This window comes from Homo sapiens, chromosome 5 (assembly GCF_000001405.40).
Source record: "Homo sapiens chromosome 5, GRCh38.p14 Primary Assembly".
Classification (NCBI taxonomy): Eukaryota; Metazoa; Chordata; class Mammalia; order Primates; family Hominidae; genus Homo; species Homo sapiens.
In genome coordinates, this window is record NC_000005.10 from 56410061 (window position 1) to 56424449 (window position 14389).

Consider the following 14389-nt stretch of genomic DNA (forward strand, 5'->3'; position numbering starts at 1 on the left):
TGAGTCGAGGGACTGCGAGGTCCCGGTTGGTGTCCTTCTCTTTGCCAAAGAGCTGGACCAGATGAGAAGTGCCCAGTTTGAAAAGACAGAAAATGCCTCCACTTCCTGTTTCCCTTCACCCTGAACCCCTTGTGATGCTGTCCTTGGGATGAGGGGAGACCCTTACCCACTCCCCCAAGTCTTCTTCTCTGGGTAGCTGGTTCCTCTGTCACCCAAGAGGGCTAAAACGATGGACAGAAATATATCATATTGCTGTTTTTTTTTTTTTTGGTGGAGATTTGTTGGTTTTTAACTGCAAGATTATATTACTAACTCATGTTGGCTTGTTTGTTTAAAAAGGACAAACAAACTCATTCCTATGAGAAAGATTTTTCTAGTGTATGTTTCCCCTCTCATCTCTATAAAAATAGTTGTTCCCAAAACATATTTTTTTAAACTACTGAGAACAATAAAGCATCTAGATTTTCATTTTGTTATAGTATAATGGCCCAGGTGACTTTTCCCCTCAGACCTACTGTCCTGACCTGTTTGCTTCCTCAGTTTACACCACACTCTCTCCTTACTTCCTGACCCTTTAATTATATCCTCCTTTTAGCCCCCGTCTCATGACTACAGAGGGACTTGGGGAGATGGGCAGTCGGTGCTTGGCCAGAGGCAGAACTGAACCTGGCTTGCAGGTGGGTGCCCGCTCGCCTCCCAGCTTGCTGAGCATGGTGGGAAATGTGAGGAGGCCTGGAACCTGGCCTTGACTTCAAGGATCCTGAAACTTGGGTTAGGAAATGGTTTGTGCACACGTGAAGTTTCCCAACCATACATGACAGAATATGAGTGCTATAGAGGACACCAGCATAACAAGGGCATGCCATTGCCTGCCCGACTCCACATACTGTGTCTGGCAATCTTGTTGCCACTATTTCTCCATGTTTGGATCACATGTATTCAGTTTTTAGTGATTTTTAATTGAGGACCTACCTATGTACCCTATATTGTTCCAGGGGTCATGGGATGCATTTTATTGGCGACACCTTACCATTCAGCCTGCCTGGAAGTGTGCACAGGGCTGACTTCAACCAATTAAAATGTCAACTTTATAGAAATGAGCTTAAAGGATCAGGAGAAGTCCTCTTTACATCACTAAGTAACTGAATAATGTGCTTCCTCTGTGCCATTTTAAAAAATCATCATGCCTTCAATCCTAACATTGGAACTGTATTTTCAGACAGTCACGTGGACATTTTTACGCTTGCTGATTTTTATCTAATTTTAAATGATTTTGAAATATTTCCTCGGAGTATAGGTTCTTTCCTAGAAGTTTATAAGTGTGAGTTCTACGGTAAAATTGAGGGGAAAAAACCCATCATTTTAATTTAAAAAAACCAAACCTACAGATTTTTTGTTTTTTTTTAAAAGCATTTTCCTTGCATGAATTAGGAACATTTCAGACTCAATTATTTCTACTTTTTAAAAATTTTAAACTGATTTTTGGAATAAAGGGAACTAATCAGTGTTTTAGCCACATCTTTGCTTCAAGGCAATATAATTAATCAGATTGCTATTTTAAGTCAGCCTGGGTGCTGCGTTGCCAGCTTTATAGTTTGAGGGGCTTAGGAAATATTTTCTAAGGACTTTGTACATACATAATAATGTCAGACCAAAAGAAAAAAATCAATGCATGGGTTAAAAACCGCATATTTATCCCATTTTATATGGTGAAATTTGTCTATTATATCATTTAACAGAAAACCATGAAGCCTCTCACACTATTTTGGAGAGTATAGCATTGACTAAAGCGAGGTTGAAATGAATTAAAACTGAGAGACAGAGAGAGAGAGATTTAAAAATATTTTATTCATTAATTCATTCACTCACTTATTTGCTTATTCATTAAACATGACTAAGGGCTCATTAACACATTAGTAGGTGCTATAAAGCAGAGTATGACATTTCTCTCAAGCTCTTGAGATCCCTTTTAAGCTACCCTTCCTCCTTTCTCACATTCTGGCTGACTCTCCTTCTAGGATAAGTGGATCTCTACTGCAACTCTGCACAGCCACGCCTAACCTCCTCCAGACACTCTCTACCTCTATGCCTTTGCTTCATTATTTTTCTGCTCACTTGTCCAAACCTCATCCTTCTTTTCCTAATAGCTCAACTCAGGCCTAGCTTCAAAAAAATAAGCAATTTGTATTGAGCTCCAATATAGAGCTATGAGGGTTCTTATATATAAAGAAGTACAAGATGCAACCAGGACTGTACAAACCCTGCTATCCTGCTTAGGAGTTGTGAGCCATGCTTCAAGCTTAGAGGATGTTGGCAACATATGGCATGTGTGTAATACCAGACAACTGATTCCTACCATGAGTGCTATAGGAGGTTGTGGGATGGAAAACCACTGGAAGCTTCTTAGGAAACTGAGATTTAAAATTTGAAAATAAGATCTGGGTGGCTGTGAAAAAGGGACAAGACATTCCCAGTGGGTATGAAAAGCTACCAACTCCAAGAAGGCCCAACCCAGTGGGTACCAATTACTTGCCCCCTAATGCACACATCTTGAGTTTAAACTTTGTCTCACAAGCTTAACTTGTATGCAGGCTCTTTAGCAGTGGCTTAAAAAAACAAAGGTGGGGCAGTGTTTCTGGTTTTTCTATTTTTCTCCATCCTATTTTATTTTAAGCTCCTCATAAAGAGACTCATATCTGATCTCTAGTTCAAGTTGTCCGGGTGTGCCCTGCCTCGTAGACAGACTGTGAAAGAATTAGCAGATTATAAGAATTTAAGCCCTTGTGGATATATCTGTGACAATGAGGCCAGGTGCTGGTGTGAACTGAAAAAGAAAGAGATGAGAGAGACCTGTCACTGGGCTTTGTCCACAAAAAGTGTGCGAAAAAATACGAAATCATTAAGTATTGATTTATACTGGTTATACTGCAGTATGAATGCAACCATAAAATCCAGGGGAACAGTGAAACAAAGCCAAAATATGAGTGAGGATAAGCATGGTAATTCAGAGGAAGTAGGCTGCTTGGGTCCCCGGTGGTGGGGAAATGAGTGGATGGGAGAAGCACTGGGTTGAGGAGGGTGCTGGGTGAGGCTGGGGCTTCTCTGGCTGCAAATGACGTGAGCACTGTCATGTCAGGAGACCTGAGACAGCAGCAAACTGTGAGAGGGGCTGGGCTCAGCTTGCTGTTTAGTTTCACATCCGCTGACTTTAAGTATTAATATCTGCATTTAGGCAGTAACTGTGAAGTAAGGGAATTCTTGATCAAGCTTTCCTATTTATGTTGTCCTTATCCCGACTCTCTCCCGTGACAATACAAATGCCAGCTAAGCCAGATTAATAAAGATGGGAACACTGGACTCTTCCTGGAGAATTCTGGGTTTTTCTGCATGTTTTTCTAAGATCCATTAAGAAGAGTTATCCAAATCTTGAAAATAAAGAAAAAAGATGAATGCATACCTTTTAATCTGCTTGCCCAAAAGTCATCTGATATTCTAGGGGGAGGTAACATTGTGTGTCTTACTAATTAGGACCCAGACTCTGTAAAGTTTGATGTTATCCCATAGAAAATGTTACATTGCTAAAGACATCTGTCCAGAAAAAAAAAGGGTAACCCCGATGGTTATGGCTTTATTGCCCTGTAGGACATTAACCAGTTTGGTGTCTAACTTTGCACTCTTATTTCAGAATTACTTCCAATGACTATCCACGTGATGGTTGTCATACTCTTCTTTATTCCAGCTTTGTCATTCTGCTTCTTCTCTCGTTGAGTTAAATAAATCTTTGACATCTGCTCACTATATGTTTTATGAGAGTTAAGTTTTTAACTTAAAAATAATTATACTTTGACAAATCTTAGAAGTCGACTTGGTGTAATAGGTTTAATTTGCTGATTAACAAAGATGGCTTATGATGTATCTTTGTTAATATTAAGAACCTGAAAATCTTGCAATTAGCATTCATAATTTTATACAGTGTATTTTATACACTTCTCTGCATAAGAACACTGATAAGAAATAACTAAGAGGAACCGGCATTTTGTAAACCATTGAGTGAGTTTTGAATAAGGTTAGCGACAGAACCAAATAATTTTTTAATTTGCAAGAAATGTTCTGCTACTCTGCAGAACTGTTCTTCCCTGCACCCATCTAATTGTGAAATTCTTGCAAGGCTTCAAGTCAGGAAGCATTTCAAATAGAAAGAGGAACTTTAAAAAATGTGCCCCTGGGGAAAGATTTTCCCCCTTCTCCTCCCCGAAAAGGACTCATAATTCATTTCAGCTGCTTTGTATTTTCATGGCATCATTTTTTTAAATAGCAATAGAAAATTGAGACTTTATGGGAGAGGCATCAAATATAGGGCTAAATGTTATTTTGTCTTGGTAAGGCCTAGCACAGGATTTTATTAGCTGCTGATATTTTGTGGGAATCCTGAAATATCTAAATTAATTGTCTTCTTTAAACATTTTTTTTTTTTTCTGAGACAGGGTCTTGCTCTGTCTTCCAAGCTGGAGTGCAGTGGTGTGATCATGGCTTACTGCAGCTTTGACCTCCTAGGCTCAGATGATCCTCTGGCCTCAGTCTCCTGAGTAGCTGGGACCAGAGGCATGCACCATTACACTCAGCTACATTTTAAAATATTTTTTGTAGAAACATGTTTTTGCTATGTTGCCCAGGCTGATTTTGAACTCCTGAGCTAAAGCAATCCTACCACCTAGGATTTTCAAAGTGCTGGGATTACAGGCATGAGCCACTATGCCACCGCGCCAGTACATGGATCTCTGTACTTGCCTGGGCAAGGGGGTGAGAATCTGTCTCTACAAAAAAAGTTTTTAAAAATTAGCTGGATGCAGTAGCACACACCTGTAGTTCCAACTACTCAGGAGGCTGAGGAAGGAGGATCCCTACAGCCCAGGAGCTCGAGGCTACAGTGAGCTATGATTATGCCACTGCACTCTAGCCTGAGCCACAGAGCAAGACCCTGTTTCTAAAAAAAAAAAAAAGATATTGGGGTCAACCATCACTCCTAGTCTCTCCATGCATGAGAAACTTCACCTCTAATATAACTCCTTATAGTAGGTTCTCCGACACAAAGTAGTTCTTCAGTAAAGAAAGCCAGTTGCCTTTGCCCCGTGGCTGTCTCACTATGGACCTTTGCCGCCTGTGCTATCCGAAATCCTCTGATGCTCTTTAGTCACTCTGGTTTAGCCTCCTGCTATTAAGGCTGACTGTCCCCAAACCCACAGTAATGAAATATTGGTCATTAATATATTGTTAAGTCGTGGCAGCCCCTGCATCAATATTAAATAATTATGGTGTGCTTGAGTGCTTACCATGTCCTAGGTCGCTGACAGGGTATGATCGACCAATAAGACTGAGACAGGAACTACAGCCATCACCCCATTTCCCATGACAAACAGCAGGGCTCTGAGACTGATGAAACTTGCCCCCAGGAGAAAAGAGGAAGCAGCAATTGGGCCACGCCTCTCTACAGAGTTCTTCCAGTTGTTGACTCTAAACTTCTCACCCCCAAGAAAGTTTCACAGAGAAGTAGATTGCACAGTCTTAACACCAGCCTGAGCCTTGGGTCCAGCTTCTTATCTGCAGTCCAGTCTACTTCTCAGGAATGTCTTTCTAGGCCATTGTTTACATTATTTCAAAACCAAGGAGCTATGAAATTTCTGAGAGTCCTAAGCCTGGAACCTAAAGATTGCAATTCAAGGCCAGAATTTGCCTTGTTGTCACTGTCAACTCACTCTTCTCTTTATTATCTGCTAGCTTTGAGGGCTTTTGAATTCTTAAGACACATCTTAACTCTTTTCTTGGAGCTTTTAACATTTTCAGATTTTTAAAAATAGTTTTGTTCTTTCTTTGTCCTTAGATATCTAGTAATGCTTTCTCAGACTCGGTCAAGTTAACTCTTCTGGGATTTCATTGTTTTAACTGGCACACTGTGGGAGGTCAGTGTGTGTGTGTGTGTGTGTGTGTGTGTGTGTGTGTGTGTGTGTATGTATAAAACAGACATCAAAGGTTTCAGGAATTATTGGTCCTGTCAAAATTCTGAGTAGCTCAGCTCATATTTACTCATGCACCTTACTCTTCCAGCTCGTCTGCACTTCTTCCTTCTGGTTCTTATGTTGGCAGGTGTATTAGTAAGGGTTCCCTGGAGGGACATAACTAATAGGATATTATATATATAAAGGGGAGTTTATTAAGTATTAACTAACATGATCATAAGGTCCCACAATAGGCTATTTGCAAGCTTGAGGAGCAAGGAGGGCCAGTCCCAGTCTCAAAACTGAAGAACTTGGAGTCCAGTGTTTGATGGCAGGAAGCATCCAGCACGGGAGAAAGATGTAGGCTGGGAGGCTAGGCCAGTCTTGCCTTTTCACGTTTTTCTGTCTGCTTAGCCAGACAGAAAATTAGCCAGCAGCTGATTAGATTGTGACCACCAGATTAAGGGTGGGTCTGCCTTCCCCAGTCCACTGACTCAAATGTTAATCTCCTTTGGCAACACCCTCGTAGACACACCCAGGATCAATACTTTGCATTCTTCAATCCAATCAAGTTGACATTCAGTATTAACCATCACAGCAGGGCAAGAGAACACACAACATGATATTATCACAATATTTTTACCACAGCAAACTTAAGGTACCCCATCCACACAGATGCCTGTCAAAATAAAACAGAAAAGGGAATAGGAAGCAGGGGATGAGGAGTTAATTTCTTTTAGACTTGCTGCTTGAACTTATTCAGACTCCTCTTAGATCTGGAGCTGACATTTTTGTGACATTCTTTTCTCATAGACCATTTTTTCTACTGAGAGCTGACTTGGAGTCAAGAAAGGAAGAACAAACTAGTACTTAAATGAAATAGGATACATTTGAATAGGTCTTTTAATTTTTCCAAGTATTTAATCTCTGTTAGCTATATTCTTGTGGCGTCCATATGAAGAGATAAGTAGCAAATTTTAAAGAATTTCTACTGAAGTTAGAAAACTGAGTTCATCTAATCTTTTTATGCATCTCTATAATTTAGGAGATTGATGCTCAGAAATGATTATAATTGTTCTAGTGGAGGTGCCAGCTACTGTGCCCATAGAAGGATCTATCTGTAACTAAATTCCTTGGTATGGCCACGAATGGTAAATCTCACCTTTCTTGAGGCCCCTCTTAGCATCAGTTTCCCTGAGCTTCCCTGCCTTTCTCACCTTTCTTCCTTTGTCAAAATAAGATGATATTTTTCTAGATCCATTTATTCATCCAACTAAATATCTCCTCTGAGATGCCTATGTAACCTGTACAACAAAAAGAGCATATTGAATGAGCCCGATGAATGAGGCATCTGAAATCCTACAATTAAAAAAAAAAAGGAAGAAAAAATTAGAAGTATCTTTCCTAAAAGAAAGTCAGACATAAAAGTTGTGGTTTTTTGTTTTGTTTTTTGTTGTTGTTGTTGTTGTTTGTTTGTTTAACCTGTCCTGAAATGTTGGCAAGGTCCTATATCATAAAGTCTCTGCTTGATACATAAAATGTTTGGAGCAATCGGAATTGGTTTCGATTTTTCTCAGGGGATTATGACCCCAAGAAAGTAGGAAAACCTCTGCTGTGTATATTTACTCTCGATGAAACTCCATTTCCATATCCTGTCTTCCTATGCCCTATTCCATCTCAGTTTATTATTCAAATTCTGCCTGCTTTCATTCATTCAACAAAAATTGTTGAGTGGATATTACATGCTAGAAAGTGTTTGATATGTTCCCAACCATCTGAGCTGGCCATTCTTCCACTGGGTAAGAGGAACTCAGGAGTCTGAAACCCCTTGGAGGTAAAATTAAGGAAAAAAGATCAGAAAATACGTTTTTGAATAATAAAGTTGTTTTTTTTTTTACAAATGTTTTGTGGTTGTTTCAAAATGTCTTCATATTTACTTAGCATTTTCATAGATTACAAAGGAACTTCATAAATACTCTAACTACAACGTCCACTCCTAGGGTGTGGATAGTTTCAGTAGCCTTCCTCACTATGAGCTTGAGTGTAGAGACTGTGTTTTATTATGTTTATGTCTCTAGAATTTGGCCCGGGGTCAAGTAGGGATTAGGCTCTCACTAAGTAATTTTTAAATGAACGTCTTCATATTACATGTATATAAGTTATTTCCTATGCTGGTTTGTAATTGGAGGCTCTTTGCACTATCTCCTTTCCAGGTGCACAGCATTGTTCTCATCAGACAATGCATTTGGCTGAATTTTACCCAGGAAAAATGTTAGGTTGAACTTAGAGGACAATCTGGGACAGTACCAGACATCCTAGTCATGTCATCAGTCCTTGAAGCCATAGTTGAAAACTTTATAAAATGAGAAGTTTGGTAAAGACACAAAGTTGTTAGGTGGAGAAAACTGGAGAACTGAAATAATTTCATATTAGGGATGGTAGTTTCATGATGACAATGATTAAGTTTCAGAGATATTAAGGCAACAGTAAGATTGCAAACAAAAGCAGTAAGATGGCATCTGAAGCAAGAAGTTCACCAAGATGACTTGTTTAATTTTCCCCTTTCATAGGGTACTTGGGAGTTTATTTCTTCTATATTATGTCTTCAAACTTCTGGTTAAAAACACTAAACTATCTGATGAGCAGAATATAAGAAATGATAGGAATAATGATCTGGCATTTGGTTTCTAGAAGAAAACGAGACAATAAGCTTAAATGGTGCCTGTATTAGAAACAAGGGCAATAAGAATTTCGAGAGTGTTAAGGTCTTAATTCTGACCTTGTGATAAGACTATTTCTTGCTATTTATTTCTCCCCATCAGAAATCTATAATTTTCTATTTTTCAATTGTCATATCTATGAAAACATCCTTAGCAGGTAACCTAAGACTTAGAGGTTGAAAATGTGAGATTAATATTGGCAGAAAATGTTAGAAGACAACTTTGGCTACCTGGAACCCAGACTTTTTTTTCTGTGAGATCTTGGAAAAGTCACTGATATGGTTTAGCTCTGTGTCCCCACCCAAATCTCATGTTGAATTGTGATTCTTGGCATTGGAGGTGGGGCCTGGTGAGAGGTGATTGGATCATGGGGGCGGTGTCCAATGGTTTAGCACCATTGCCCTAGTGCTGAGATACAGCTCTCATGAGATCTGGTTGTTTGAAAGTGTGTAGCACCTCCCCTGTCATTCTGTCTCCTGTTGGCCATGTGAAGATGTACTTGTTTCCTCTTTGCCTTCACCATGATTGTAAGTTTCCTGAGGCCTCTCAAGAAGCAGAAGCCTGTACAGCCTGTGGAGTCATGAGCCGATTAAACCTTTTTTTTTTTTAATAAATTGCCCAGTCTCAGGTAGTTCTTTATAGCAGTGTGAGAATAGACTTACACAGTCACCTAGCCTCGCTGAACCTCAGTTTTCTAACTTCATTAGAAATCCTTTTAGATTGGCCCGCTTATCTCTTTATACAGATGCTGTAGGAATAGAATTAGCAGGATAAAATACCTAGAAAAATTAAGAGACTTATTCAAATGTATGCTATTTTATTTAAGTACTAGTTTATTTTTCCTTTCTTGACCCCAACTCAGCTCTGAGTAGAAAAAGTGACCAGGAATGTCAAAAAATTCAGCTCCAGATCTAAGAGGAGTCTAAGTAAGTTCAAGCAGCAGGTCTAAAAGAAATAAACCACTCACCCCCTGCTTCCTATTCTCTTTTCTGTTTGATTTTCATAAGCATCTTTGTGGATGGGTTAACCTTAAGTGTGTGCTGTGGTAAAAATGTTGTGATAATATCATGTTCTGTGTTCTCTTGTCCTGCCAACATGAGAATCAGAAGGAGGAAGTGCAGATGAGCTGGAAGAGTGAGCTGCATCAGTAAATATGAGCTGAGCTATTCAGAATTTTGACAGGCCCCAATAATTTCTGAAACTGTGCACGCACATGCACACACACACACACCCCTACGATGACCTTCTACCTATGTGCCAGACACTTTTCTAAGAATTGATGTTACACAATGATGAAAAATACATATTCCCTGCTTTCAAGAAGCTTGCATTCTAATGAGTGAAGAATAAAATAGTGAATTCATAACATAAATTAAATTCAAATAATTATATGTGCTATGAAAAAAATCCAAAATAATTAAATAGAGAGTAAAAGGGAGGTGAGAATGGGGCTGGAGTTGACAAGTAGAGAGGTAAGAGTCAGACAAGAGAAGGTGACATTTGAACTGAAATCTGAGTATCCAGAGGCACCAGCCAGGGAAATATCTAAAAGAAGAGCTGAAAGATGAGTTGGAATGAATTCACTGAGGAAAGTATGCAGGAAAATGAGGTTGCAGAGGTAAACCACAGCCAAATCAAAAGCAACTTTTAGTCTATGATCTTGGAATTTATTCTAAGTAGCATAGGAAACTCTTAGGAGAGTCTGATCTTTGATTTGTGGATTAATGTCTTTCATTAACCTTGGATTAAATCTTAGCCATTATCTCTATAAATGTTTCTTCTGCCTTATTCCTTCCTGTTCTTTAACACCAGTTTCCTGTATATCAGACCATCTAACAGTGTCTCACATCTAAAACATTCTATTGTTTTTCTTCATTCATTTTCTCTTTATGGTTTAGTTTAAATAATTTCTATTGAACTGCCTTCAAATTTACTGATCTTTTCTTCAGGATCAGTAAAGGTTGTGTTCAGTATTGTAGTTAAACACATTGAATGAATTTTCCATTTCTAATATTGTAGTTTTCAGCTCTATAATTTCCCCTCAATCCTTTTAGAGAGCTTCCATTTTTATGCTAAAGTTCCCTGTCTGGCACAAACTAATTTCCTAAAATATTTTTGTTGAATGAATAAATTGGTTTTGCTGCTCTGTCAGGAAAAAGGATTTTTTAAAATACAGAAAAATGTTCACATCTGTACTGAAAAATTTAGTGTCATAAATTAGTGATCTTCCACTAAGACTCAATAACTCATGGTACAACCAGGTGATAGCCATTTCATTTGAATGTTTTGCAAATTTAACCTTATTTTGGAGACAGCTAATGTAATAAGGCACTCTCATATTACTAGTATTCTTATACTTGGTCAGTTCCTTCTGGAAGCTCATAGTAGGACTAGACCCACAGGCATATAAACATCAAGGCACTTTGCTCAATAGTGCAGAACTATAGCAACCATAATAAATGTCTCCTTTTGTGAATGATTTAAATAAAGCCAGAATGCCTTTGGGTTAGTTTTTATCCCTGGAAAAAGACAAATCATTCCACTGGCAACATATAGAATATGTTCCTTGGAATAAATGACATATGACTTAAATTTCTTCTCTCTAGAGGATAGTTTTGGCAAGCTTCTCTATGTGCAAATGTGAAAGATACAGTTTTCACCTGGAGTAGAAAGTCCCGGAAGTCTGTCCTGCAGAGCAATCACTAGAGTGCTAGGAATCCCAGAATTTAACAAGTAAAATTCAAAAGAAAAGTAAAAGTGAAAAGGAGAAGTCTCAAGTAATCCATTAAATGTTTCTGGAGCAGACAAAACAAAATAACAAGGCAAGGCTGTGGAGTTGCATAACAAGAAAAACATAAATGCATATTTTCCAGAAAGCACTGGCCTCTCACATAAGTTTAAAGAGACTGATGCCTCTGGCGAGGGGATTATACTAGAGTTGCAATCACCTTTATGTTTTATTAGTGCTTATTATTACCATGGTGAACACAATGCTATCTGCTTCCCTGAGTGTGTTTGAAGTATAGGAAAAATCCAAAGATTTTTATAAAGTGAGGGATGGTGATACAGTACAACTCCTACGTGCACATACATATGGACGTACACAGAGAGAGACTCAAAAGAGTTGCATTTTAATTTCTCAGCAGAAGGAAACTTAGATTCTTTCATATCCATCTGTAGTTTCTAGACATTATATGGAGAGACAGAAATCTGAATTTGGCCAGTGGCGAGGGCTGCCCAGGGTTTAATTAGATCAGCACGCAGACTGGGATATGCTGACCTTTTTTGTCCATGCTAAGCCTATAGGCTGTATTTCTGAATGCCTCCCTCTCTGCAAACTGTAACAGGAGCTTTCATTTTAAAGTGCTTTCCAAACTTTATTCCTTATTGCCCTTGAGGAGAGGCCCTTATTAGTCTCTCTATTTTGCTGACTGGAATGAACTGACCTGCTTAAGGTCCAGTGGGAATTAGTGCCCAAACTGGAATTACCACTTTGGTACCTTTGGACCAAGTCCCAGGAACTGGCTGTTAAGGACAGGGCTATTGTGGTTCTTTCTCCTCCTGCTCTGTCTCTGCAGAGTTAACCCACTCCAAGGAATCGTTTTTGTCCGTCTGTGAGCTTTGGTTTTGATTTCTGCTAACTGGATATAACCATATTTATGGTATTTTCTGATCTTGTCAAGTGTATTTGTGCTATTTATGATGTTGACAAAGGTTCACTTTTGATTAACGTTAAGGAACTACTCTGTGCCAGGATCTATATACGTCCTCAGACTTACAAAAGTTAGACAGCTGGACACATTCTGCTCCTATGTGTATATCCTTGGAAAATTTTCACATGGGCCTGTGAGGGGTACGAATAAGGACACAAGGTTGTTTTTTTTTTTTTTTTTTTTTTTAATGACAGTGAAAGTTGAATGCAACTTTTTTTTATCAGAGAATTTTCAGGTTATTCATTTATTCAAAAAATATTTATTGAGTGCCTGTGACTTGCCAGGTCTCAGCAAAACCATCAATTATCCTGCAGCATTCATGGTTGGAGCTGCGCTCAAGTCTTCTAGGGCCTTACTATTGTAATACTGGCTGCCCACCCAGAACTACCAGCATTTGAACCTCTTTGTCTGGGAGGCTTCCTCTGGTTGCTGGAACCTGTCTGCCCCAGGGCAAGCTGGAAGTGTTGAAGAACTGATGCCTGCCTGCCCATGCCAGCACCTTGCAGCAATGACTGCTCCAGCTCCCTCCAGCTCCCTGGCTCCTCAGGTGGAAAGACCAGCAATGCTCTACACTGGCTCCCAGAGCTCCCCAGTGGGGTAAGCTCCTCTTGCCAACAATTGGAATTTGCTAAGTAGTAATCCCTGTATACTGGCTGCCTTGCCTTCACCAGCTCACTTCTCCATGCCCTTATAAACATTTCCTGGGATCACCTCCCCAAACTACCCGTACTTGAATCCTGTCTCAGGGACTGCTTCGGAGGGACACCCTCTTAGGGTGTCATTGTTTATGTATCTAATATCACTAGTTTAAAAAGAAGTTTTAGAAGAACCCTAAAAATGTTTGAAAAAGAGGGGGTCTATGATCTCAAGAAGCTCCCAGGCTAGCCATCCTTTTTCCCAGAATGAGGGGAGAAAAGTGAGTGTTTTAATACTTATTGCAAAGGAATCTGTATATTAGATTAACCCATATGAAATTGCTGATATTTGGTCATTGTTGACATAAAAATGTCAGTTTCATCTTCTGAGAAATCAAAAAGAAAACAAAAACAAAAATGTCAGTTTCATATGGCTCAATAATACATGGATGGCATTTTTCTTTTCTGAGACAGAGTCTGCAGTGGCCTATCTCTGCTCACTGCAGCCTCCACCTACCGGGCTCAAGCAATTCTCCTGCCTCAGTCTTCCAAGTAGCCAGGACTACAGGTGTGCACCATCACCCTGAGTAATTTTTGTATTTTTACTAGAGATAGGGTTTTGCCATGTTGGCCAGGCTGGTCTCGAACTCCAGGCCTCAAGTGATCTGAATGGCTTGGCCTCCCAAAGTCCTGGGATTACAAGCATCAGCCACTGTGCCCGGCCAATACATGGCAGTTTTCTTGCTTTTCTTGCTTTGTGTTTTTGTTTTTGCTTCCATTTAAGTACCAAATTCTTGCCAACTGACAGAATGAATCACATATTCCAAAGTGGCTGGCTACCATAGCCAACATTGCAGCTGGCAGGATGCAGGAAGAGGGAGAAAGTTTATGCTTCTACCATTAACGATGTTTCAGAGGAGAAACACCTTGTTTCTCCTCAAACCCATTGAGCAGAACTTAGTGGCCACTCCTAGCTGCAAGGGAGTCTTAAACAATGTCATCTTTATTCCAGATAGCCATGTCTAGTTATAATAAAGGCTACTTTCACTATAGAAGAAGGAGTAAACAATATTGGAAGATATCTAGCACTCATGCCTCCCTAATTAAAATTTTTTTTACTAATAAGAAAGCAAACAACCAGAGAGGAAAAAGGGGTCTCCAATGAACCTAACATCAAATGTTTATTTTTCTGCAGTTCTTAGAATTAGAAGGAACATTTAAGATCCTTTGATGGTTTTATTTTATTTTACTTTACTTTATTTTCTATATTTGTGTTGGACCTCAGTTACAGAGGGCTAATTGAATCATCAGTTTAATTTCATGATGTA

The 14389-nt window shown here is 39.2% G+C and overlaps 1 annotated feature.

Moving 5' to 3' along the window:
* Nucleotides 5275-5324: an enhancer, noted in NCBI's record as "active region_22564". NCBI's record gives its function as "activates an Ori minimal core promoter by ATAC-STARR-seq in GM12878 lymphoblastoid cells {active_cell/tissue: GM12878}" and the evidence as "EXISTENCE:reporter gene assay evidence [ECO:0000049][PMID:35858748]".